Raw genomic sequence first — 26,233 nt, 5'->3', positions numbered from 1 at the left:
AGTGGAAAATCAACTCCTCCATTACTGGCTTAGGAAACACTGTTTTAGATGCTGAGACTCCAATAACTGCCACCTTTACTAGTACATTGGCTTAAAGCCAAATTTGCAGCCATCTCTAGCAAGTGTTTAGGATTTGATATAACATGTTTGATGATTGAATTTGCCTTGGTTCTATATAACATCCTATAGCTATTCATTTTTTAACCTTATTTTTCTCAATTATAGTCAATGTTTTTATTGTGCTATATTTGATGTGTTTTTATGGCTGCCCTACATTATTTTGGGAACAAGAAAGGATATGAATGCTTACTTTCGGTAGGGAGAAAGGGGTAATAAGCAATGTGAACCTGATATAATATAAAGTAATTACAGTCTCAGGTGTCTTAGGGCATCAGATTCAAGATGAAAATTAAGAGTGGAGAAAAGAAAGGGAGATCAGATTGTTACTGTGTCTATGTAGAAATGGAAGACATAAGAAAGTCCATTGTGATCTGTACTAAGAACAATTATTCTGCTTTGAGATGCTGTTAATCTGTAACTTTAGCCCCAACCCTGTGCTCACAGAAACATGTGCTGTATTGAATCAAGGTTTAATGGATTTGGGGCTGTGCAGGATGTGCCTTATTAACAGTATGTTTGCAGGCAGTATGCCTAGTAAAAGTCATCACCATTCTCCATTCTCTGTTAACCAGGGACACAATGCACTGTGGAAAGCCGCAGGGACCTCTGCCCAAGAAAGCCTGGGTATTGTCCAAGCTTTCCCGCAACTGAGACAGCCTGAGATATGGCCTTGTGGGAAAGGAAAGGCCTTACATCCCCCAGCCTGACACCCGTGAAGGGTCTGTGCTGAGGAGGAGTAGTGAAAGAGGGAGGCCTCTTTGCAGTTAAGAGGAAGGTTTCTGTCTCCTGCTCGTCCCTGGGAATGGAATGTCTCAGTGTAAAGCTGACCATTCGTTCTATTCTGAGATAGGAGAAAACCGCCCTGTGGCTGGAGGCGAGATATGCTGGCAGCAATACTGCTCTGTTACTCTTTGCTACACTGAGATGTTTGTGTAAAGTGAAACATAAATCTAGCCTATGTGTACATCCAGGCGTAGTACCTTTCCTTGAACTTATTCATGATACAGATTCCTTTGCTCACATGTTTCCTGCTGACCTTCTCCCCACCATCACCCTGTTGCCCTGCCACACTCCCCTCGCCAAGATAGTAAAAATAGTGATCAATAAATACTGAGGGAACTCAGAGACCAGCGCTGGTGCGGGTCCTTGCACATTGAGCGCCAGTCTCCTGGGCCCACTGTTCTTTCTATATACTTTGTCTCTGTGTCTTATTTCTTTTCTCAGTCTCTCGGCTCCACCTGATGAGAAATACCCACAGGTGTGGAGGGTCAGACCCCCTTCAAAAAGCTCATATACCTCTCTAAACAGTTCTACAGGAATAAATGGAGGTGGCTGCCAATATCCCTTAAGCCACCTCAAAAACCAAGTTGACAAGGTGTATGCTTTTTTCTTTTCTCTCGGGAAAAATACCAGTGCCCTCTGGTGTCCAAAGTGCACCTTGAGTAGTACCACGTAGATCAGTTTATCTTCAAAGAATAATGTACTAATTCAATGTTAGAGATAATTTTTTAAAATAAATTTTGGAGGCTGGGCACGGTGGCTCACGCCTGTAATTCCAGCACTTTGGGAGGCCGAGGCAGGCGGATCACTTGAGGTCAGGAGTTCGAGACCAACCTGGCCAACATGGTGCAACACCGTCTCTACTAAATACAAAAATTAGCTTAGCATGGTGGCACACCTGTAGTCCCAGTTACTTGGGAAGCTGAAAGAGGAGAATCACTTGAACCCAGGAGGCGGAAGTTGCAGTGAGCCGAGACTGCACCAGCCTGTCAGGGCAAGACTCTGTCTCATAAATAAATAAATAAATAAATAAATATTGGAGCATTAAATTCTGGGCAGCAATATACAAGCATGCTATTGTCCTACAAATCACAATATAAAATACTCTTTATTTTCATGTTTTTGAGAGCAATGAACACACAAAATATAATCTCTGGAGGAGACTAAAATTCTTTTTTCAATCCACCGTTTTCTAAGGCTTCACATCTCTAGTCCAACTTCATTGGATCACAGATAATCCCCCGCCAACTGAGCATGGTGGCTCACGCTTGTAATCCCAGGACTTTGGGAGGCCGAGGAGGGCCAATCACTTGAGTCCAGGAGTTCGAGACCAGCCTGGGCTGCTGAAACCCATCTCTACCAAAGGAAAAAGAAAAGAAAAGAAAGAAAGAAAAATTAGTTGAGTGTGATTGTGTGCACCTGTAATCCCAGCTACTCGGAAGGCTGAGGTGGGAGGATCTCTTGAGCCCAGGAAGTCAAGGCTGCAGTGAGCGGTGATCGCTCCACTGCACTCCAGCCAGGGCAACAGAGCAAGGCCCTGTCTTAAAAAAGAAAATAATAAGAATCCCATTCATTATCTTCTAATGCAAACAATCAATGGAGTTTCTAAAGACCTAGACATAGGTGGTGTCAGGACCTGCTTCTGTAACTTTTCCATCCTTTGCATTAGGCAGCGCGGAACCCCCTAGGCGACCCCGCGCTGGCCGGGAGCACTCTTTCTTCAGCCAAAGGTACGTTCCATTACCGCCCCTCGGGGGCGCGCTAGGCAGCGGGCCGGCCAAGCTGCCGCCGCCCAGGGCGCCCTGTCCCGTTCGCTTTTGTGCCGACCTGGAAACACTCTGTGGTGCTCTAGATTGTTACAAAGTTCGGGGTGGTGCAGCCCCAGCGCGCCCCGCTCCCCGGCCTGCAGGTGGCATACAAGTCTCTTCGCTGTCGGGATTCGGGACTGAATCTCTGCCGGGCGGCAACCCCTTCCCCCACCGGGATCACCGGGAAAGTGGCACCATGGATTCTCCATCTTTGACTGTGGCCACGCCCCTCTCGCTGACTCCGCCCATCCCACGGGAATTGGCGTGTGGCGATTGGAGGCGTGTCGGGGGCGGGGCTGGGGGAGGTGGGCTGAGGAGGCGGGGCCTGGGAGGGGACAAAGCCGGGAAGAGGAAAAGCTCGGACCTACCCTGTGGTCCCGGGTTTCTGCAGAGTCTACTTCAGAAGCGGAGGCACTGGGAGTCCGGTTTGGGATTGCCAGGCTGTGGTTGTGAGTCTGAGCTTGTGAGCGGCTGTGGCGCCCCAACTCTTCGCCAGCATATCATCCCGGCAGGTAACCTCAGGCTCCAAGGGGCGGCCCCGGTCCCTGGCTGTGGAGGGGTGGCTCTAATTCCGCAGAAGGCAGGAATGGGGTAAAGGAAAAAAGCGCAGATCTTGGGTGTGGAGGGAGTCAAGGCCTGCGTGCAAAGAAGGGAACAAATCCAGGTATTGAGAATGGGAAAAGAAAAGGGAAGGAGGGGATGCTGGATGCTTGGATATGCAGAAGGTCTGCTTTTGGGCCTGGGAGGGAGAAACTGGGCGGTGAGGAAGTTGGATGCAACGACAAGGGGAAAATCAGGTCTGCACTTGGGTTGGAAAATCGAGGGGTGGAAGTTGCAAGAATGCATGTAGAAGACTAAGCCTGGAGTGTAGGAGGAAGAAAACGTGCAGCAGCTGGGGGCTGGATGCAAAGAAGGCTGTAAGCCGCAGACGGGCGTCTGCAGGCAACTCAGGCGGCGAGGAATAGCCTTGAAGCCGATCCCTCGCGTCCGCCAGGGGGCGTGGAGGGGCGGAGCTCCAGCGGCCTTCAGAGGGGTCGCTAGGCCACACGGGGCGAGAGGGGGCTGGGGGAAACACCCCCGCCAGTTCCGGGTGCCTGGAGTTTAAAAGGTCCCAGCACCAGCGAGGGGAGGGGAGGGGAGGGGCGGGCGTGGAGACCTGGAAGGAGGTACCGATCCAGCCTTGATTGCAGCCCTCTTGCACAACGGCCATAAGGACGGGTGCAGGCCAAGAGCAAGGACATGCAAACCCCAAGACCTGCTAACGGGCGGCGAAGCGGGGGCACGCCCTCGCACACGCAGAGATAAATTGTGCTCCCATGACCTTTATTTGGAAAGTGCCTGCGGGCCTAAAATTGGCCTTTGTCCCACCGAGTACACTCAGCACTGTACTTTAAACCGGATAAACTGGGCTGTCTGGCAGGTACTAAAAACAGCTAAATTCTCCTGTGAGTGTTCTGTATGTTAACACTTTTATTCCTTGTTTTGTTTTAGGCGATAAACTACATTCAGTTGAGTCTGCAAGACTGGGAGGAACTGGGGTGATAAGAAATCTATTCACTGTCAAGGTGAGAATTAGCAAATTTTCCCCCTTCTTCTGTACTTTCTTTGATGTGGCAGTACAGTGTTTAACTGGTCTTGGGGGCAGGCCGAGGCACTGCAAGGGAATGAGTGAGGAATATTTCCAACAACGAATTCCAACAGCTTCCTTGTTTCTTTTAATACAGTGTCTTATCTGCAAGAGATCCTTTTTGCCCAGAAATTATTGTAGTTCATGAACTCGGCAAAAAACAATCTGGCCAAAAACTTGAGGTTGATGAAAATAATATTAAATGGCTCTTTTTTTTCATTAAACTACTCTGTATTGTTATTCCAGGTTTATTTTCTGGAATTGCACAATTATGTTAGGAGATAGGATTCAGCTACTTCATATGAGCTGGTGCCTGCTGGTCTTGGAACAGCCCTTCCTTCTGAAGTTGGGATTGGGTTGGAGACAAAATCTGAGGGGCAACAAAGGTGGAGAAGTCAGTCCAGTGGGGCCTCAAGCCCATCCCATGGAAATCAGATCCAGAAGAAATACAATTATGTTCCACATGGTAGTAACAATAAAGCTTCACTGTTTTAGTTAAAAGATGGTAAAAATTTCATGGCTAAGTAATGTGAGGAAAACCTGAAGCGTCTGAAGTATGCATTATGAGATAAAGAAAGATTACTGCAGAGAGTACAGTTGCTTTAACTGAGAAGGAAATAGTGAACTAAAAAGATATCAGTCTTCACATTTTAGGTACAATATTTGACCTCTATTAACTGTATTTGCCATCAAGAATAAATTGCCATGTCATGACTGTTGCATCATACTATATAGGGACATGGCCATGGAAGTGTATTATCAGGAACCAGATAAGTTCACTGCCTCCTTTTTTGCTTTGTTTTAAAACAAGGATAGGTGTGACAGTGGAATCAAACATGAACTGAATCATATGCTTTCAGCTGTACTACAAATTATACTTGACATTACAAATGGGAAGTAATTGACTCATCCACACCATTCTGTTCATTTCTTTTAGTCTAGTTCAGTTCCAGAAGGTTCCCCCAAAGGAATCTCCTAAACACTAGTAAGAAGAATTCTAGAATTGCGAATTTGGGAAGTGAAAATGGGCCTGGGGATTGGAAATACATCCAGGCTTGTCAAGAAACAGACGCTTACTGTCTACTAATCATTACATTTTTATTTAAAGACCAAATTACTTTAGCTCAATTTTTCAAGAAAGACTATTTTAGGCTTCTTATCTAATAATTCTTTAAAGTCAATTCTCTTGACTTTTTTAGTCCTTAAGAGAATAAAAGCAATTTGCAGCTGTGTTGTTGGATTAAAAAAGAGTTTCGATTAGAGCATCATTAGAAGGAATAGATAACTTTTAGCAGGCTCAGAGCTTCTTCTGCCTCTAGGGACAAGCTGGGACAGTTTCATTTCTTCCAAAGCGTCCAACCTTGCACTTTCTGAGAATCAGATTGATTTGTATATGCTACCCCCACACCCTATCCTTAAAGTGCTGTCTTCCTAGGACAATGCACAGTTTGTCCTATCCCACTCACTAGCAGCTTACCCTTGCCTGTGAACAGCCAGAAGAAGATGACAGGGACATGCTTGGGTCCTGGGCAGTGGCCCTACTGTATAGAGATTCTTCTAATTGAGAAATCACTTTGTTGTATTTAGCCCCACATCTCCAATGTCTGTGTTATCTCTAGGAAAACAGTTCCACCAGGAATTCTTCGTCTCGCTTTTAGACTTAAAGTTTCCCTGAATATGGGTCACAGGAACCAGCTGAATCTCCTCATGGCTAGTTATTTTTATTAAATAACAAAAACAGCCTCTTAAAGGAGGAGAAATGCTAGCACTCACCATTCTGGACATCTTGAGAGCCCAGTAAAATGATGAGTTGGACTGAAGTGTTCAATAAACATGAGATTGTGGAAATAATCTCATTTCTTAAGACAAACCAGTAGTTGAGAATAATGATTGCATTATGAAGGGCACGTTATAGGGTCAGGCTCTGCCACGCTCTAGCTAGGTGGCCTTGGGAAAGCTCTTTTTTTTTTAACAAAGTAAAATGGGGAAATGATGGCCATTTTTTTGGATTGTTATGAGGGCTAGCTCAGAAACCGCGTGTGAAACATAACACAATACTTTGTTCAGAGAAGATACTCAATTCTAATGGTAAATAGAATTGCTGTTACTAGCTTTTTATTCAACTACACATAAATTGAATTGCATGAATTGTTCTTTTAGTAGTCACTACGTTGTTTATATAAACACTACGTTGTTTATATATTTCACTTTATAATGAAATAAATGACAAGGCATGTATTTTTTTTTTCTTTTTAGGTTTATTGAAGTCAAAATGTCCAAAAAAATCAGTGGCGGTTCTGTGGTAGAGATGCAAGGAGATGAAATGACACGAATCATTTGGGAATTGATTAAAGAGAAACTCATTTTTCCCTACGTGGAATTGGATCTACATAGGTAAATGAGTTACCCCTCCGTGTAGCAAACTCAGAAAGGATAATCTGGCTGGGCATGGTGGTGCACACGTGAAGTCCCAGCTACTTAGGAGGCAGAGGCAGGAGGATCCCTCAAGACCAGGAATTCAAGTCCAGCCTGGGCAACAGAGTGAGACCCCATCACTTTAAAAAAAAAAGGAAAAAAAAGGGAAGGAGAAACAGGAAAAAAAAAAAGAATATAATCTGAATTATTTTGAGGTGAAGTTAGCTTTTTTTATATAGATATAGCTGTGTTTTGTGAATAAAGTTTGTTTTAAGCCTAAATATATTCAGATGAATCTTCTAATTTTAACATACTGCTAGAAAAACTGGATTTATCATCTAAAAGTCAAGAATTATAAGGGAAAGAATGATTTTCAGATTCTTCTAACCTTCTGTTTCCTGTGAAGGTTTTATTTGTAATAAAACAGTGGCTAAGAATAGTACAATGTATTGAGAAAAGGGAAATAAGAGAGGATGTAAGAAACAGTAAACTAAATGCAGTTAACACAATTTTGTCATTTCAAACTCAATTTTCTATCACTTTACTTAGTCAATGGACCTGTTTCCTTTTCATGCCTCACCTTTTGCCCTTTTCATACAATTGTAGTGCAGAAAGAATTCATGATGTTTCTTAGTTGAACCCCTCCTTTCCAGCAAAATTCCCTTAAATCCTGTGTCCCTTTGCCCTGTGTGTAAAGTGCCTGGGGACAGATGCAAAAGTCTATGTAATTCTCTCATTTTTTTCGCTGTGTTTTTCATAAACTTGCTTCTGTTCTTTGTACCTTTAGGTAGAGATAGAATTTTTAAAAGGGTAAAGTGGCTGAAGACTGGCATAGAAAAATATTGAGCAACACGTTTCAGCCAAACTATTGGCAACTCTAAGTGTGTTTGCCTCAGCCCAGAATTAGTCATCAAAATTTGTCCTAAGGACCTGTTTGAGTGGAGACATTTAATTCACATAATGTCATTAAACATACTTTTTAATTGTTCTAAACCTAAGCTGCTGATGTCTATATTGAAATCATGATAAGATATAAATACTTGCAGAAGTCAACCAAACATAAGAAATTAGGCATAAAAACATCTTCCAACTAGGTTAAAAAAAAAAAGCATCTTAGGAACTCCTGTTTCAGGACTTTACATGACAGTAGGTGAACTGGCAGGGTTCTTTTCCTTATAATGGCTGCAACTAAAGATGCTTTGAGCCTCTTTAGTGTGGAATCATGAGGAGTTTTAAAGGGGAGTCACTATGACTAGGAGGAAAAAATTTGGTGGCTGCAGACTAGATAATTTTTGGAGGCTCAAACAAGTTTTAAATTTTTCCAAAATTCCTATTATTATCACTGACTGGTTCTTTTTCAGGAGAATGGAGCAGGTAGTTTGTTTTATGTAGGCTGGACAGTGGTCTGGGCAATTTGTTCCTTCCTTTCTTATCTTCTTAGAAATGTTAAGAAGACAAGCAAAAAATCTAATAATTTGCTGATAGATTCTCCTTATGAGAAATGGTTCCTAGGAACTTGAAAACTACTGATCATACTTCCTGTTGGAGTTGGGATTGGATCAACATTTCCTATGCAAGAAGATAACAAAGGACATGACTTTGTTAGATTTATATGAATTATCTAAAGTCGAAGCAGTTGGAAGTTATTTTTATTTGGAAATATGTCAAGATTACTATCTCTTTGTTTGCATCATGAGTTGGGTAGGAGATCTAAGAAAGGAAGATAAGGGAACCAAAAAGAAATCTAGAGGCAGGTTTTAAGAGCTGAAAAACCTTTTAAATCCTTGGAGAACAGAATAAACAAAACATTATTTTGTTTTCTTGCTTTTTAACAAACTATTGCATGCTTCAAATAAAGCTTTGCAGTCATTTTCTATGCTCCCTGGACAACTAACATTCTTTCAGCTCTGAATGACCTGCAATCTTTGTGTTGGTGTATATTAAGCTATTACTCTCTGGTATGTAGAAAACCATTGATGGATTCCTTTACTTACCCAATAAATTGTAGGCTTGTTTCCAGAGCAAACACTTGCTCAAGAATTACAGAAGGAATTAGCTGGGCATGGTGGTGCATGCCTGTAGTCCCCGCTACTGGGGAGGCTGAGGCGGGGGAATCACTTGAACCCAGGAAGGCAGAGGTTGAGTGAGCCAAGATCGTGCCACTGCACTCCAGCCTGGGCAACAAAACGAGACTCATCTAAAAAAAAAAAAAAAAGGGAAAGGCTCATTTTATGACTAACTGGCATTAATGAAGTAGTCATTCGCATTTTTGGCATCAACTGTCACATCTTTACCTCCCACCACTTCAACGTCAAAATACAAAAAATCCTTTAACCCCTCCCACCCCCTTTTATTTTTAAAGAGCAATATTTACTAAGGGAAAAAGGTGGTCCTTAGACTTACACTTATTATACTAATTATATGGAGAGAAACCAGGCCATTATTGCCTCTATCTGGTGAAAAACAGGAGGCAAAGGGCAGAGTTTGATGGTTTCCATTCATTTTCCTGATAGACAGCTTCCCATTACAAGAGGAGGGGCAGCCCAGCAGTCTAGCCTCTCTTAGTTCTCTTTGTAGTTGGCACCCATCTTCTGTGTTTAGGGTGTGCCAGTGCTAAAACTTGGCAGATTTTGGTGTACTCAGAGCCTTCGCTTTCTGCATAATGAGCTCTATATGCCATCACTGCAGTTGTAGGTTATAACTATCCATTTGTCTGAAAAACTTTGCTTCTAATTTTTCTCTTTCAAGCTATGATTTAGGCATAGAGAATCGTGATGCCACCAACGACCAAGTCACCAAGGATGCTGCAGAAGCTATAAAGAAGCATAATGTTGGCGTCAAATGTGCCACTATCACTCCTGATGAGAAGAGGGTTGAGGAGTTCAAGTTGAAACAAATGTGGAAATCACCAAATGGCACCATACGAAATATTCTGGGTGGCACGGTCTTCAGAGAAGCCATTATCTGCAAAAATATCCCCCGGCTTGTGAGTGGATGGGTAAAACCTATCATCATAGGTCGTCATGCTTATGGGGATCAAGTAAGTCATGTTGGCAATAATGTGATTTTGCATGTTTTTTTTTTCATGGCCCAGAAATTTCCAACTTGTATGTGTTTTATTCTTATCTTTTGGTATCTACACCCATTAAGCAAGGTATGAAATTGAGAAATGCATATATGTATAACTGTATATTTACACACATTTAGCTAAAGGCAAATACAAATAAACTTACAAATAGGCGTCCATCTCAACACATTTTTTTTCAAACATGCTGTTTTTTTTCCTTTATCCTTTTATTCAGTTATACCATATGATATTGCCATTTTTATGTTGGTAATTTCATATGGTTCAACCAGATCTGTGGTTTTCAACACTGGCTGCACAATAGGATCCCCTTACAAGTTTTTTTGGTGGTTTTGTTTTGCTTTGCTTGATTTGTTTCTTTGTTTTAGTTTCAATGCTTGAGTACCACCCTACACAAATTAAAATCTGAATTCCATGGGGTTCAGGCATTTTAAAGCTCCCCAGGTGAATCTAATGTGCAAACTTGAGAACCACCAAAGATTGTATTAAACATGATCCCATCATGCATAAAAGAAAAAACTGGCTGGGTACTATGGTTCACACCTGTAATCCTAGCACTTTGGAGGCCAATTTGGAAGCACTGCTTGAGGCCAGGAGTTTGAGACTAGCCTGGACAACATAGCAGAACCCTGTCTCTACAAAAATGAAAAGTATTTCAATAATTATGTCAATTGTTCATGGAAGAGCCAGTTTTGTTTATTCATATACAAAGTGAGTAGGCGAAGCTGAGTGGGGTGGCATGTGCCTATAGTCCCAGCTACTTGGAAGGCTGAGGCCTGAGGATCCCTTAAGCCTAGGAGTTCAAGGTTACAGCTATGAGCTATGATCACACCACTGCCTACGCAACAGAGCAAGACCCTGTCTCGAAAAAGAAAAAGAAAAAAAAAACTGACTCGGTAGTTGAAAGCAGCCTTACTAAAGCATTCCTTCCTGCCTGGAAAAAAAGTATTGCTTCTTTACTTCTGTACCAGTACACTTGTTGCCAAATTAAGCAAAAAAACTGCCAAGTAAACAAAATCAAAGTTCAGTGTTGAAACTGAGGTTTCAGACTTTCACAGAAAGTAGTTTATGTCTTAAAAGGACCTTAAAAACAGGAATCTCTCATGCTGAAATCCAGAGGTTTTAATGTAGCCATCATTGAAAACAGTGTGTTGAGGGTAAACAGTTTAGTCCTTGAGGGGTCAGTTAACTTTGTTCCACTCTGTGGCTAAAACTATCCTTTCATCCTGGCCAAAGCCTTCAGAAATAGCTCCCAGGGGCCCAAGCAAGGGAAGGTAGATGGCAGTGGTGCAAACTCGCTAATCTTGTAAAAATCACCCTAGATTCTTTCCAGTTCAGTCGTGCCTTTTTTCTGCGTATATCCTTTTTGTTTTTTGTTTTTGAGACAGAGTCTCGCTCTGTCGCCCAGGCTGGAGTGCAGTGGTGTGATCTTGGCTCACTGCAACCTCTGCCTCCCGGGTTCAAGCAATTCTCCTGCCTCAGCCTCTTGAGTAGCTGGGATTACAGGCACATGCTACCATGCCCGGCTAATTTTTGTGTTTTTAGTAGAGACGGGGTTTCACCATGTTGGTCAGGCTGGTCTCAAACTCCTGACCTTGTGATCCGCCCGCCTCCGCCTCCGCCTCCCAAAGTGCTGGGATTACAGGCATGCCACCATGCCCGGCCTTCCTCTTTTTTTTTTTTTTTTTAATTATTTTGGCATCAGTCATTTGTAAAAATGGCCATTCTATTTATTAAAGTCCAGAAAGAGAATTTCAAACCTCAGGTTGATTCATGGACTGTTTAAATATACATAAACCTATACAAAGCATTTATGGTGCTTTGGTACCTCAGTTTCTCCCTTTTCAGAAATAGTAATAAATTACCACCCATATTTACTTTATGGATTTTATATGTCAAAAATGTTCTGTGTAAAGTAGGTGTTTAATCTTTATTGTTACTTACTGCTCTTTTACCAGTTGTTATTAGTATTTCTCTACACTTATAGATGTGGCCGGCACCTGCTGGTACCTAACTCTGCAAGTATCTGATTCAATTCATTGAAGAAGATACAATGCAGCAAAGACTTATGGATGTCTAGTATATGCCAGGCATATTATTCCACTGAGTAGCTGAGGCCCATGAGGGAGGTGCCTGTCCTTGAACAGCCCTTTCCTAAAAATCATCATCATCCCATTGTAGCTGCTCCCAGAATGATTTGATTGCTCCATATGAACAAGTCCTATAACACTAGTAACAATGATACCATGAGAGACCGAGCCCCGATGGCCTAAGTAAGGACGAGACCTCAAGTCCTTTGACCCTGGATGCATTATTTCTACTATATCATAGTTCCCTCCTTGTAAGACTGATGTAAGAATCAAATGAGATTATGCAAGTTAAGCATTTAAAGCATCTGGCATAGAGTAAGGACAAAGCATTAGCTACCTCAGTACTACAATTAGTATTGTTATCATCACCCTCTAGGGAGACTTCCCTGACTTCCTTCCATGGTCACCTCTTTTCCTCTGTCATCCTATAGTTTTTTTTTTTTTGGGGGGGGGGTCTAATACCCTCTTTTGGCATTTGAAAGCTCTTATATTGCTTTTCACTTATATATGTCTTTATAGGGTTGTAAACTTCCTAAAGGAAAGTGGCTTATGTTATTCTCTGTCCTCTTCAAATCAGTGCTCAGAAAACTTTCCTATACCTCGTATAGGCACCTAATAAATATTTACTGATTTAGGGGAATGTCTGGACCTCTTCATCCCCATCTCCTAAAAAAAAAAAAAAAAAAAGAAGTTTGACATACTGCCCTATTTGTCTAGGTGTCTTCTAGGTCTATATTATATGAATATTCTCCTTACAATTCCTGCTAGGGTATTTTTTTTTTCTTTATACCTTTTTCCCCTCTACACAGTACAGAGCAACTGATTTTGTTGTTCCTGGGCCTGGAAAAGTAGAGATAACCTACACACCAAGTGACGGAACCCAAAAGGTGACATACCTGGTACATAACTTTGAAGGTATGTATGACTGTAGCATAAGCTTCTTTTTTTTTTAAACAAATGATTTAGATAATATTTTTATTGCTTTTTTTGTTAGTTATGTGACTGCCTAAAAATATAATCTGAATCTACAGTGTTTTTGCAAAACCCGAAACTTGACATAAAGAAGTAATTTGCTTCCATACCTTCCTGTGGCATGAATAAAGGCACAAAAGGGTTACCCACTTAATTGGAAATGCCTTTAGGCAAAGACAAGGAGATGATTATGCATTTATCTTAAAGCACAGAGAGAAGGTTGGCAGAAATCTGCTGTGCATGAATTATATACATTAAATATTAATATTCTCAAATCACCCAGCATATAATCCTGCCCTTTGCTCTGGTAGGGCTCTTGTATCTGGAAGAGGTTTCCTTATATATTTGCTGAAGTTTTCTTCTTGCCCTTCTGGGTATTTATCCTGTGAAAAAGTAGAACATTTGCTTTTTGCCTTTTCTTTCCCAGCTACCCTGCTACCTTTGATGGCAAATCCCACCCAAAAGTTGTTGAAATAATTAGTGGGCCCTTTTCCTTCACTATTGAAGTTGTTGAAAGCACTCACACAAACAAAAATACCCAACACTCACCTACCTTTTGTTTTTCTTGCCTCTTCCAAATAATATCTGTTGGAATCTGGTTCTGCAGGCTTCAGCACCTTTCACCCTGAACCCAAGTTAACCCTGAGCATTGGCATGGATTCAAGTTCTATCTTTAAGTAATAACAAAGTTCAATAATAGTTGTAAAACACAGTGATTACATGTAGCATAATTATTTCTACTTATTTCTACCAACTACAGTAGGAGTGCTCAGTATCCTCCAGGAGATTATAAGAATTTTCATTCAGTATTTGAAATTTAAGTTTTTCTCAATAACTGAGGATTGAGTACACCCCTAAAGTTTAAAATAGATGTTGGGAATTGTAAAGGTAGGGTGTTTGTCCATTCTTGCGTTGCTATAAAGAAATACCTGAGGCTGCGTAAGTTATAAAGAAAAGAGGTTTAATTGGCTCATGGTTCTGCAGGCTGTACAAGCCTGGCTCCAACACCTGTTCCTGGTGAGGGCCTCAGGAAGCTTCCAATCTTGGCAGAAGGCAAACAGACAATAGGTGTATCACATGGCAAGAGCGGGAACAAGAGAAAGAGAAGGGGGAGGTCCCAGACTCTTAAACAACCAGATTTCAAGTGAATTAACTGAGCGAGAACTCACGTAATCACCAAAGGGGATGGTCCTAAGCCATTCATAAGGGATCCAACCCCATGTTCCAATCTCCTCCCACTGGGCCCCACCTCCAACACTGGGAATCACATTTCAACATGAGATTTGGAAGGGACAAATATCCAAACCATATCAGTATGTAAAAGAAGTTTCAAAATTATTTGCCTTTTCTTAAATGTATTTCTGGTTCATATCAGTTTTTGGCATTTCTGCATCTTCAGGATTTTAAAGACTGTATGTTTTTTCATTTCTGCTGTCCTTCCAAAACAAGTTAGAATGTCCTTATCTAGAACTGGCTTTTCTCTCATTATGTGCCTCAGAAATTTGTTGGAAACCTGTCTGGGACTTCTGAAATCTAGTCTCAGATGTGAGAGCTGAGAAGTAGGTCATTTGGTTGTGGTGGGTGATTTTAGCCTTATTACAACTACATTACATTTATTCTTCTCCCTTTTTTCCTCTCACTGGCTTCTCCTCTACAGAAGGTGGTGGTGTTGCCATGGGGATGTATAATCAAGATAAGTCAATTGAAGATTTTGCACACAGTTCCTTCCAAATGGCTCTGTCTAAGGGTTGGCCTTTGTATCTGAGCACCAAAAACACTATTCTGAAGAAATATGATGGGCGTTTTAAAGACATCTTTCAGGAGATATATGACAAGTAACTATAGTTCTTTTTTAACTTTTTCTTTATTCTCAAGTAAGCTGACATTTGCATATAGAGTATGTATCTCCCTATCCCTATGATTCTGGGTAAATTGAGTGAAAATCATCACTGTCTCTTAAAGATAAGGGCAAAACTGAGGTTTAGCAGGAGTGAAACAAAACCACTCTGACTTGCTTTTATAAGATAAACATGTTCTTAAATAAGGTCCCCACATGAATTGTTTTCAGAGCCAGGTTCTTTAATGTTTAAATAAACGTACGCTGTTAGTGATAAGTTCTAATTTTTCATGTGTGAGTTTCTAAGTCAGACCCATTTCCATTCTTTCTGAAGCCCATTGTTAGAATTTAAAATTCTGTTGGCCAGGCACGGTGGCTCATGCCTGTAATCCCAGCACTTTGGGAGGCCGAGGCGGGCGGATCACGAGGTCAGGAGATCGAGACCATCCTGGCTAACACGGTGAAACCCTGACTCTACTAAAAATACCAAAAATTAGCCGGGCGTGGTGGCGGGCGCCTCTAGTCCCAGTTACTGGGGAGGCTGAGGCAGGAGAATGGCGTGAACCCGGGAGGCGGAGGTTGCAGTGAGCCGAAATCACGCCACTGCACTGCAGCCTGGGCGACAGAGCGAGACTCCGTCTCAAAAAAAAAAAAAGAAAAGAAAAGAAAAAAAAGAATTTAAAATTCTGTTTTAGTGGAGTCATTTGAACTTAAGTCTAAGTTTATAACAACACTGGCTTCCACAGCACAGGAGGTGAGCATGTGTTAATATTTAAGATTGGCATAACTCCCTTTAGGTGCAAGTGTTCAGGCCAAAATGTTCCTGAGGCATTTTGATTCCTCCTCCTGCTGCCCATCTATACCAAGCCCAGAAACTGTCTGGAATATATTTTAGTTTCCTGAATGACACCAAGAAGTAGAACAGTCTTTTCAAAAATGTATTTTAAAAATAAGCTGAATCTCAAGAATCTGATCTATAGTATAATGAAAACTGAAAAGTGAAGTAGTCATTGGGATACTCTACTGTCTCACTTAATTCTCACGGCTTCCCTGCAAGGTGGGTAAAATTGTTCCTACAGATAGTCAAATTGAGTTTTACAGTTAGAAAATGATTGGGCTAGGATTTGAGCCAATGTCTGTCAGATTCCTGAGTTTCTGCTACTTCTACTAAAATATGCTGCTTCTTGTGTGTCCGGTCTTCTGTTTGGGACAAGCAGATGATATCCCTAACAAAATCAATTTTCTTTATTATTATTCTCTTTTACCTTTTGTTTCCCAGGCAGTACAAGTCCCAGTTTGAAGCTCAAAAGATCTGGTATGAGCATAGGCTCATCGACGACATGGTGGCCCAAGCTATGAAATCAGAGGGAGGCTTCATCTGGGCCTGTAAAAACTATGATGGTGACGTGCAGTCGGACTCTGTGGCCCAAGGTACAGAGGTGGAGCCTGGCCTGTAGGAACAGGGTCATTCCAGGGTAGTTCTCTAATTTGGGAAGGGGAGTTTTGTAGTCCTTTGTTGTAAAATCTTGGAATGTTAAACCTCCAGGTCCACCGTCTTACCTGACAGCTAAGGAAATTAAGCTCAGACTAGAGAAATGATTTACTCAAGACCACATGGGAAGTAAATTAGTGGATTGACACTCCTGGCTCCAGTGTCACTCCTTGAAGTTTTAAAGCCTACCTGATCTGAAAATCACTCCCTTTCCCTGCCCTCCTTGTCCTTTGGTGAAAATGTAAAAAACCAGGGCACTCAGGCAAGGAGGGATAAAGTGAGGAGCTTGATCATGTCATAACCAAGCTTTGGTGCCTGCAAAGCTCATTTATTGGGCAGCAGGACCTACTCATGTCCCTCTGCCAGCTGCTGTTCTGGTAGAATATAAAACAAATGTGTTTGGCTGGGCACAGTGGCTCACGCCTGTAATCCTAGCACTTTGAGAGGCCAAGGCAGTGGATCACTTGAGGCCAGGAGTTCAAGACCAGCCTGGCCAACATAGCAAAACCCCATCTCTACTTCAAAAAAAAAAAAAAAAAAAAATTAGCCAGGTGTGGTCGCATGCCTATAGTCCCTGGCACTCAGGAGGCTAAAGCATGAGAATTTCTTGAGCCTGGGAAGCGGAGGTTGCAGTGAGCTGAGATCACGCCACTATACTCCAGCCTGGGCAACAGAGCAAGACTCTTGTCTCAACAACAACAAAGAAAAAGTGTTTTTGTTTACTGCTTAGCTTACACACAAATCAATTGAGCAAAGAACCCTAGGGGCTGTTTACAGAAATTCCAGGAGAAGTTTCATGCATGGGGTAAGGGCCAAATCAACAGAAACACAGCGCCTGGTTTCCTCAGCACCAAGTTGCCCTTCAGTTTCAGTTGCCCTTGGTAGCTGTATGAACTTGAATCTCCCCAGATGAATGTTTGTTAACTTTAATTATGTTTGTTTTTCCCAAGAAGTACTACTTTTTCTGTCTCTTATCAGTGTTAAACATCTCCTCTCAGTTTGAAAATCAGTAGATCAACCTGGTTAAAGATAACTTTTTGCCAGATAAATGAGTTACACAACTCTCCTTACCATCCTTCTGTTTCTCTACATCCTCACAATCATTTGTACTGAATGCAACAGAGGAAGGAGTGTTATTGCTTTGTGATGACTCCGTGGTTGATTATTAACTTCACAGGTGATGTTGGGAGGTAGCAAAAATGGAGAAAAGAAGAAAATCAATTATATAGATATAAGAGTTGTAATGTGGTTCTTTCAATAAGAAACCACAGAAGAGAACTGTTGTACTGAGGGTATGAAAGAGAGCGAGGAAGGGCAACTGGGATGTTCTTAGATCCAACCGATCCTGTGTTTACCTGCCTTCTCTTCCCAGTCCCAGCAAGTGTATGAGCAGCTTGAGGGTTCTTAAGAGACAGCTCTCGTCCATCTTTATTTCCCCAGAACAGCAGAGCATTGCACATAAGAATAACAATAATAGATTGAGCTCTGTGTCCAGTACTATTCTAAGGAATATAAATATATATTCATATATATTTATGAATATATGTATATTTATCTAATCCCACAGCAACCTAGTGAAGTAGGTGCTGTTATTACTCCCATTTTACAGATAAGAAAACTGAGCCGCAGTAGCTATGAAGTCATAGAACTAGAGTGGAATGTAGGCAGTTGGACCCTGAACCCTCCATCAAGGAGTAGGTATCCCTGAAATAAGTGAGGGGAAAATGCAGCCTTTCCAGACCCATTGGCTCTGATATCTGGAGCGGGGATCCTGCCTTCTGAAAGGCAGAATTATTGGTGATTCCATGTGCTCTTGTTTACTTTGCTTACCAAGACCTATCAAGATTGAGTCATTTATGCTCTCATCTCTGAGAGACTCAGTGCTCTTCATGCAGTTGGACCCAACGCTTCATGCTCCACTACTTACAGGGTATGGCTCTCTCGGCATGATGACCAGCGTGCTGGTTTGTCCAGATGGCAAGACAGTAGAAGCAGAGGCTGCCCACGGGACTGTAACCCGTCACTACCGCATGTACCAGAAAGGACAGGAGACGTCCACCAATCCCATTGGTAAGATGGTGTTTACATTGATTTCTCACCAGAGAGTGCTCTCCAAAGCAGCCCAGATGTGTTCCCTTGGCTGCTCAGTGTTTTGTGTGCAAAGTCATCACCAAGTAGCTGATTTGTTCTACTAGTAAGATCTATTTGAATATGCTTCTTAAAATATACAATATTTGCTTTTCTGTTTTGTGGGAGAACATAGGTTACAGAGAGGAATGTTATCAACAAGCATTTTCCTTTACCTCTGGTGCAGTGAAATGTCACATAAGGCTACAAATCTAAAAGTCACATGGATAGATCCTTTTAACAAGTTTCAAAGATAGCACTTCAAAAAGAGATTACAGCCTGGAAAAAGGAGACCAATATAGACAAGAGATAGAAGAGATTGTGACCTTTTTCAAATTAGAAAATGCCTTAAGTTTCAAACACTAGTACCATGCCATGAAAATGTGTTTTTTTAAAGTTTCTGTTTGGTAAAATATTTCTAACTCTCCTAAAACTTCTAGCCCATGTGGTTAGTATCTAAAGAAGTCTGTCACCTAAACAAAAAACTATTCTGTTTTGGGGAACTATGAGACATTTGGAAACCTCTATAACTAGGATGATTGGAGTGTTGTGTTTTTTTTCCCCTCTTTTAGCTTCCATTTTTGCCTGGACCAGAGGGTTAGCCCACAGAGCAAAGCTTGATAACAATAAAGAGCTTGCCTTCTTTGCAAATGCTTTGGAAGAAGTCTCTATTGAGACAATTGAGGCTGGCTTCATGACCAAGGACTTGGCTGCTTGCATTAAAGGTTTACCCAAGTAAGTATAAGATGCCCTAGTTTCTATGGTCAAATTAACACTTATCCTCACTGGGCTCAGAGCATCGGTGCTTTCTGGAATTATATAAATTGTTATTCATCATCTAGTTCAGGAGTCAGCAGATATCTGTAAATTGTCAGATAGTGAACATTTTAGGCTTTGTGGAACATATAGTCTTTTTGCAACTACACAACTATTCAACTTTGCCTCTGCCATTGTAGCAGGAAAGCAGTCATAGACAATACAGAATCAAATGGTGTGGCTGGTACCAATCAAACTTTTATGTTCAAAACCAGCCTCGATTTGGTTCATGTGCTGGGCTGTAATTTGCTGACATCCCATCTAGTTGATAATCATTGAACGAAAAGGTTCTATTTAATTTTAAGAAGCAGATTATAGACAAATAGAAACAAAGATACTTCAGAGGCTATTTTATTCTACTCCTTTATTTTCTTTAACTTACTGATGAGAAAAGTGAGCAGCACAAGTTTAAGGTGTGCAATTGATTACAGTCCCTTAAGTATCTGTAACCAATATTTGGGCAAATATTTGACAGCCCATATGTTTACTGAGAATTTTTCTGAGAACATAGTAGCCAGTATCCTGGGGGGATTGTCTCCATATCTCAACCAGTGCATCTGCAGAGGTCCCAGGTAGGGTCAGTATACCCCATAATGGGGATATACTTGGTCACTGCATGTTTCTTAATTTAAATTTCCAACAAGATTGCAGTGTTCGCTGGGTGCTGTGGCTCATGCCTGTAATCCTAGCACTTTGGGAGGCCGAGGTGGGTGGATCACGAGGTCAGGAGATCAAGACCATCCTGGCTAACACAGTGAAACCCCATCTCCACTAAAAATACAAAAAATTAACCAGGCGTGGTGGCGGGCACCTGTAGTCCCAGCTACTCGGGAGGCTGAGGCAGGAGAATGGCGTGAACCTGGGAGGCGGAGCTTGCAGTGAGCCGAGATGGTGCCACTGCACTCCAGCCTGCGTGACAGAGCGAGACTCCATCTCAAAAAAAAAAAAAAGATTGCAGTGTTCAAAATGGTCTTATCAGTGGAATACCTTTGTAGCCTATTTAACAGGCACCTGTCAGCAGGATTATGTTATCCTGTCTTTTGTTTTTCTTTTTTTTTCTTTTTATTGAGACAGAGTCTCGCTTTGCCCAGGCTGGAGTGCAGTGGCGTGATCTTCGCTCACTGCAACCTCCGCCTCCTGGGTTCAAGTGATTCTTCTGCCTCAGCCTCCCAAGTAGCTGGGACTTGTGCCACAACACCCGGCTAATTTTTTTTTTTTTTTTTTTGTATTTTTAGTAGAGACGGGGTTTCACTTTGTTAGCCAGGATGGTCTCCATCTCCTGACCTCATGATCCACCCGCCTTGGCCCCCCAAAGTGCTGGGATTATAGGCGTGAGCCACCAGGCCCGGCCTGTCTTTTGTTTTTCTTAAGACACTGATAGAAATAACAACATTATAACTTTTTTTAAGGACATGTAACGGTTTGTGGGAAGGTGGGTAAAGGTTTGGCTATGCCCTGAATAAGTTTTGTTATGTTTAAGAATGAGGAAGAAGTGTGATGATTTTGGTCTCAGCAGCATTAGTCTGAACCGAAACTCAATGATAATTTCACCCCCAAAGCTACATAGCAAGAAACCTAACTGAGTATGTATGGCTGTCTCTACTGCCGGTTGCCTAGAGAGCCTGAGTACTGAGCCTGGGTCAGCCCCAGGAACCCTGAACATAGTCATTGTCTATAGATTTTGTAGCTTACTAACATGAATGCGTTTTCTTCCAGAAACAAATAGAATACTATTTTAAGTAGCATTTCTAGGACTTTACCACTACCTGCTACCATATCAGAGACCAACTAAATTTTCTTTTTTTTTTCCTTCCCGTTAGTGTGCAACGTTCTGACTACTTGAATACATTTGAGTTCATGGATAAACTTGGAGAAAACTTGAAGATCAAACTAGCTCAGGCCAAACTTTAAGTTCATACCTGAGCTAAGAAGGATAATTGTCTTTTGGTAACTAGGTCTACAGGTTTACATTTTTCTGTGTTACACTCAAGGATAAAGGCAAAATCAATTTTGTAATTTGTTTAGAAGCCAGAGTTTATCTTTTCTATAAGTTTACAGCCTTTTTCTTATATATACAGTTATTGCCACCTTTGTGAACATGGCAAGGGACTTTTTTACAATTTTTATTTTATTTTCTAGTACCAGCCTAGGAATTCGGTTAGTACTCATTTGTATTCACTGTCACTTTTTCTCATGTTCTAATTATAAATGACCAAAATCAAGATTGCTCAAAAGGGTAAATGATAGCCACAGTATTGCTCCCTAAAATATGCATAAAGTAGAAATTCACTGCCTTCCCCTCCTGTCCATGACCTTGGGCACAGGGAAGTTCTGGTGTCATAGATATCCCGTTTTGTGAGGTAGAGCTGTGCATTAAACTTGCACATGACTGGAACGAAGTAGGAGTGCAACTCAAATGTGTTGAAGATACTGCAGTCATTTTTGTAAAGACCTTGCTGAATGTTTCCAATAGACTAAATACTGTTTAGGCCGCAGGAGAGTTTGGAATCCGGAATAAATACTACCTGGAGGTTTGTCCTCTCCATTTTTCTCTTTCTCCTCCTGGCCTGGCCTGAATATTATACTACTCTAAATAGCATATTTCATCCAAGTGCAATAATGTAAGCTGAATCTTTTTTGGACTTCTGCTGGCCTGTTTTATTTCTTTTATATAAATGTGATTTCTCAGAAATTGATATTAAACACTATCTTATCTTCTCCTGAACTGTTGATTTTAATTAAAATTAAGTGCTAATTACCATTCTTCTGCGTTTCTGTTTATTGGATGCCAAGCACCACGCTACATCCTAGCCATAGGAGTGTAATCTGAAAAAATTCTCTGCTCTTAAAAAGTTTACCATGGTGGAAATAGATAAGTAAATAGTAAGATGTAGATCCTGCAGTGAAAGGAAAGAGGACCAAAGAGGGAACTACAGGAAGAATTAAGGAATATTAGAGAATAGATTATGTCTATGCACATGCTAAGGAGTTTAGTCATTATCTTATAAATGATTAGGGAGCCAATGAAGACTTTTAAGAAATAAGGGACTTGATCATATTTTTATTTTTAAAAATAGCACTCTGGGAAACTTTGATAAAAAATGGATAGTGGCTTTGAGAGGCCAAGGCAGGCAGATCACAAGGTCAGGAGTTCGAGACCAGCCTGGCCAATACGGTGAAACCCCATCTCTACTGAAAATACAAAAATTAGCCAGGTGTGGTGGCGCACACCTGTAGTCCCAGCTACTTGGGAGGCTGAGGCAGAAGAATCGCTTGAACCTGAGAGGTGGAGGTTGTAGTGAGCTGAGATCGTACCACCGCACTCCAGCCTGGATGACAAAGTGAGACTCCGTCTCAAAAAAACGAAAAAAGAATGGATGGTTTGGGGTGGGGAGGAGACTGTTGGGTGCAGTTGAGGAAGGAGGACCAGTTAGGAGGCTGTTGCGATACTTTAGTGGGAAATGATGAAGATCTGACTGGAACAGTGGCACCAGGAAGAGAACGGGATAATCCCTGGGATAAGGAAGTTGAATGGATGGGTCTTGGCAAGACCAAGGATATGTGGGGATGGAGGGACAGCAGCAAGTCAAAGATGCTTCCCACTTTCTGGCTTCACACCTGGGGAAAGGCTGCTCCACATCCTAGCATCTCTGGGAGGGAGGCCCTGGTGAGCTTTTGCGCTCTCACACGTCAGAAGTCAGTGAGTTGGGGTGGGGACCCTTGGTAATTTCTAGTCTACCTTCCTGGCAAGCTTGGAGTTGGGCCCCAGACACTGCTCTACACAAATCCCCTTGAAGGCCCAATGAAACATGGAGCCTTTCAGAATCCGATGGCATGGAGCTTATTCAGAATGAGCTTTTGACCAATTTCCCTCAGTGCTACCCCCAAAATACATCCAAATCCAAGCCCACAGTCCTAGAACACCCTGTTGAGAGGAGATTCTCATGAAGTAGGGGAGGCCCATGTGGCTTGGGCAATTTATTCCTGGCCAAATTGAAGTTAGAATCCAAACCACATGAGCTCTCCTGGCAAGGGAAATAAAAATCAATTTTCACATGAGATCAACCAGTGTCAGGTCACTCAGGTGGTAGGAAAAAAAAAAAAGCATTGCTTCTAGTTAACATCAAGAAAGAGGCAATAAATATTTTCATCTCATGTAAGATTTTTAAGATTTTTCAGTAAAAGATTTTATAACCTATATTATCTGTAGTTTTGTAAAAAGAATAGAGATCTACGTAAATTAGAATACAAGACACATAATCGTTGTTTCTCTGGTGGCTTTTTGCTGATAAATTCAACTAGTCTTTGCCTCAATATAACGACATGCCAATGACTCATTTTAACATTAATACCTGTAAGTTTTTTTAATAGGATAGATTGGGATTATAAGGAAAAGGAATGTAAATTCTTTTTATGTGCCTTCATACTATCTCATTTAATTCTCACCAAAGTCTTAAGAAGTTGACTCTATAGCACTGATTTTTTTATGAGAAAGCAAAAAATTAGAGATGTTATTAATAATTAACTTAAAGGTGGAGCTGATATTTTCTTCCAAAAGGCCACAGGTCTTTCTCTCTTTGGAAAATAGATTTTTTTTTTTTTTTCTGAGATGGAGTCTTGCTCTTTTGCCCAGGCTAGAGTGCAACGGTGTGATCTTGCCTCACTGCAGCCTCCGCCTCCTGGGTCCAAGCAATTCACCTGCCTCAGCCTCCCAAGTAGCTGGGATTACAGGTGCCGGCCACCAAGCCTGGCTAATTTTTGTATTTTTAATAGAGATGGGGTTTCACCATGTTGGCCAGGCTGGTCTTGAACTCCCAACCTTCCACCTTGGCCTCCCAAGGTGCTGGGATTACAGGCGTGAGCCACCGCACCCAGCCAAAAACATATTTAAAGCCCTTTGATGTCCAATATACTGGTTAAATGTAGTGTTCTTCAGATTATTACATATTTGGCTTTTTATAAAATTCAAATTGTTTTAACATTTTAAACTTTACATCCAAAAAAAATTGTCAAATAAAATGTGTTTTGCACTCTCCTCCTCTCATCTAAACTTATTACTCAGCTGAGCACAGTGGTTCATGCTTGTAATCCCAGCATTTTAGGAGGCTTGAGGTCAGGAGTTCGAGACCAGCCTGGCCAACATGGTGAAACCCCATCTCTACTAAAAATACAAAAATTAGCCAGGCGTGGTGGTTGTAGTTACTCAGGAGGCAGAAGCAAGAGAAACACTTGAACCTGGGAGGCAGAGGTTGCAGTGAGCCAAGATTATGCCACCGCAGTCCAGCCTGGGCAACGGAATGAGACTCCATCTCAAAAAAATAATAAAAATTTTAAAAAATAAACTTATTACTCTTTTTTCAGATTTTTGCCTGGTAAACTCTTCATAACTGTTAGAGCATCCATTTCCTCTTTCATTAACAAGATTTTAATAAATTTTAAAAGAGTTTTGGGCCGGGCATGGTGGCTCACACCTGTAATCCCAGCACTTTGGGAGGCTGAGGCAGGCGGATCTCTTGAGGTCAAGACCAGCCTAGCCAACATGGCGAAACCCCGTCTCTACTAAAAATACAAAAATTAGCCAGGCATGGTGGTGGTCACCTGTAGTCCCAGCTACTCAGGGGGCTGAGGCAGGAGAATCCCTTGAACCGGGGAGGCGGAGGTTGCAGTGAGCTGAGATTGTACCACTGCACTCCATCCTGGGCAACAGAGTGAGATTCCGTCTCCAAAAAAAAAAAAAAAAAAGTGTTTTGTTTCTACTACTTTTACCAAAGTTGCAAAATACATCAGTGGCCATTTTGGACCAGAACTTGGGACTCACATTTCAGGTTTGGGTAGGAGATGAAAGCATCACATACAACAAAATGATGGCATTGGACTGGGTGATTTTAAATAGTTCCTCCAGCACTCACAAGCATCCTCAGAGTTGATCTGGTGAGTGCAGATCAACATTTGGCCTAATGTCTATCAGGATCAGCATTTGGCCAAGAACCAGTTAATGTTCTAAAATAATTAGCAAATGAACAGATGCTGACCAATACATTCAGAGGCTGATGGTTTATTATGTAACAACTAGAGGGTCAGAATTGTTGACCTAGAAAATGACTGCTCTTTAGCACAACATTGAAGGCAGCAGGATCCAGGGACAGGGAACATATGAGTTCCAGACTTCAAAACTCTAAATTGTAGGTACTGTTTCTTAGGAAGAATTTCTAACTGAAAATATTTAAAATTTAATCTTAGCAGTCAGAATCACAGCTCCCTTGTGTTCTTGCTTGATACATAAAATCCTTCTACAATATTAACAAGTGACCCATCATCTACTTCAATATTACATAATAAATATTTCCCCCAAATTAAGGGTCTTGGCTCTTCTTATTAAGAAGGAAATTAGAAACTAATATAAAGAATGATAATAATGATAATGAAGACTTTGAATATTTATATCAATACTGATAAAAGTTTTGCACTCACCTCTCTAGTATTAGAGATTTTCACAACCCCTATTTTTAATATTAGGGAGAATGTAGCTTCCAAACTGTAAATTCCTCTGGAACAAGAAACTCAAAGAACTCTGAATTTGAATGATATCTCAGACTCTGCAGGAGGTGAATTTTGCAGATATTGTAGCATTGTTTATGAAACTGGCCCAATTGTCCCATAGAACTAATGTTTATGGTTTTTCTGAATAAACATAGAAATTGGCCCTCCTAGTCTTAAAACGAAAAAGTTACATTTGTCTTATCTGAGTTCCTTTCTCAAGAAATAAACCATCAGGGCTCTCAGATAGCATCAAGGAATTGGAATTTACCAGATGACTGCATCTGAACAAGGAAACATCAGACCCCTCACCCATCATGATTGTGAAGCAATTACCTGCTTCCTGTTGACCAACTCCTCTTCCTTACTCCTCCCTAATTCCTGTTTCCCTGAATGTTGTTACATTCCTTCCCTACTTTATAAACTCTTAATTTTAGTCAGTCAGGTAGATGGATTTGAGACTGATCTCAAATCAGTGGGTGAGACAGATTGGGTTCAACTCTGAATACAGCATGGGCAAGTGGGAA

At 41.4% G+C, this 26,233-nt stretch overlaps 1 protein-coding gene and 1 long non-coding RNA gene across 4 annotated transcripts, besides 2 other annotated features; one reads left to right on the top strand and one right to left on the bottom strand.

Moving 5' to 3' along the window:
* On the bottom strand, positions 1,965–2,926 carry IDH1-AS1 (IDH1 antisense RNA 1). Its single transcript, NR_046452.1, is given in 2 exon segments — positions 1,965–2,256; positions 2,728–2,926. It is a non-coding gene; the product is annotated as an IDH1 antisense RNA 1 (long non-coding RNA).
* Positions 2,854–3,380: an enhancer, noted in NCBI's record as "H3K27ac hESC enhancer chr2:209119503-209120029 (GRCh37/hg19 assembly coordinates)". NCBI's record gives its function as "activates a minimal SCP1, AML or CMV promoter by ChIP-STARR-seq in naive H9 embryonic stem cells {active_cell/tissue: H9 hESC(naive)}" and the evidence as "EXISTENCE:reporter gene assay evidence [ECO:0000049][PMID:30033119]".
* On the top strand, positions 3,088–21,932 carry IDH1 (isocitrate dehydrogenase (NADP(+)) 1). 3 transcript variants are annotated; one of them, NM_005896.4, is made up of 10 exons: positions 3,088–3,220; positions 4,200–4,273; positions 6,592–6,729; positions 9,499–9,790; positions 12,735–12,840; positions 14,555–14,732; positions 16,014–16,165; positions 18,156–18,296; positions 18,926–19,088; positions 20,990–21,930. In NM_005896.4, exons 3-10 carry the CDS (start codon positions 6,608–6,610, stop codon positions 21,078–21,080), a joined length of 1,245 nt encoding a protein of 414 aa, NP_005887.2. In that variant the 5' UTR covers positions 3,088–3,220; positions 4,200–4,273; positions 6,592–6,607; the 3' UTR covers positions 21,081–21,930.
* Positions 3,834–3,943: a silencer, noted in NCBI's record as "silent region_12288". NCBI's record gives its function as "represses an Ori minimal core promoter by ATAC-STARR-seq in GM12878 lymphoblastoid cells {active_cell/tissue: GM12878}" and the evidence as "EXISTENCE:reporter gene assay evidence [ECO:0000049][PMID:35858748]".

The sequence above is a fragment of the Homo sapiens genome, chromosome 2 (genome assembly GCF_000001405.40).
Source record: "Homo sapiens chromosome 2, GRCh38.p14 Primary Assembly".
Classification (NCBI taxonomy): Eukaryota; Metazoa; Chordata; class Mammalia; order Primates; family Hominidae; genus Homo; species Homo sapiens.
Note: the sequence above shows the minus strand (reverse complement) of the source record. Positions and strands in the feature narration are given on the sequence as shown.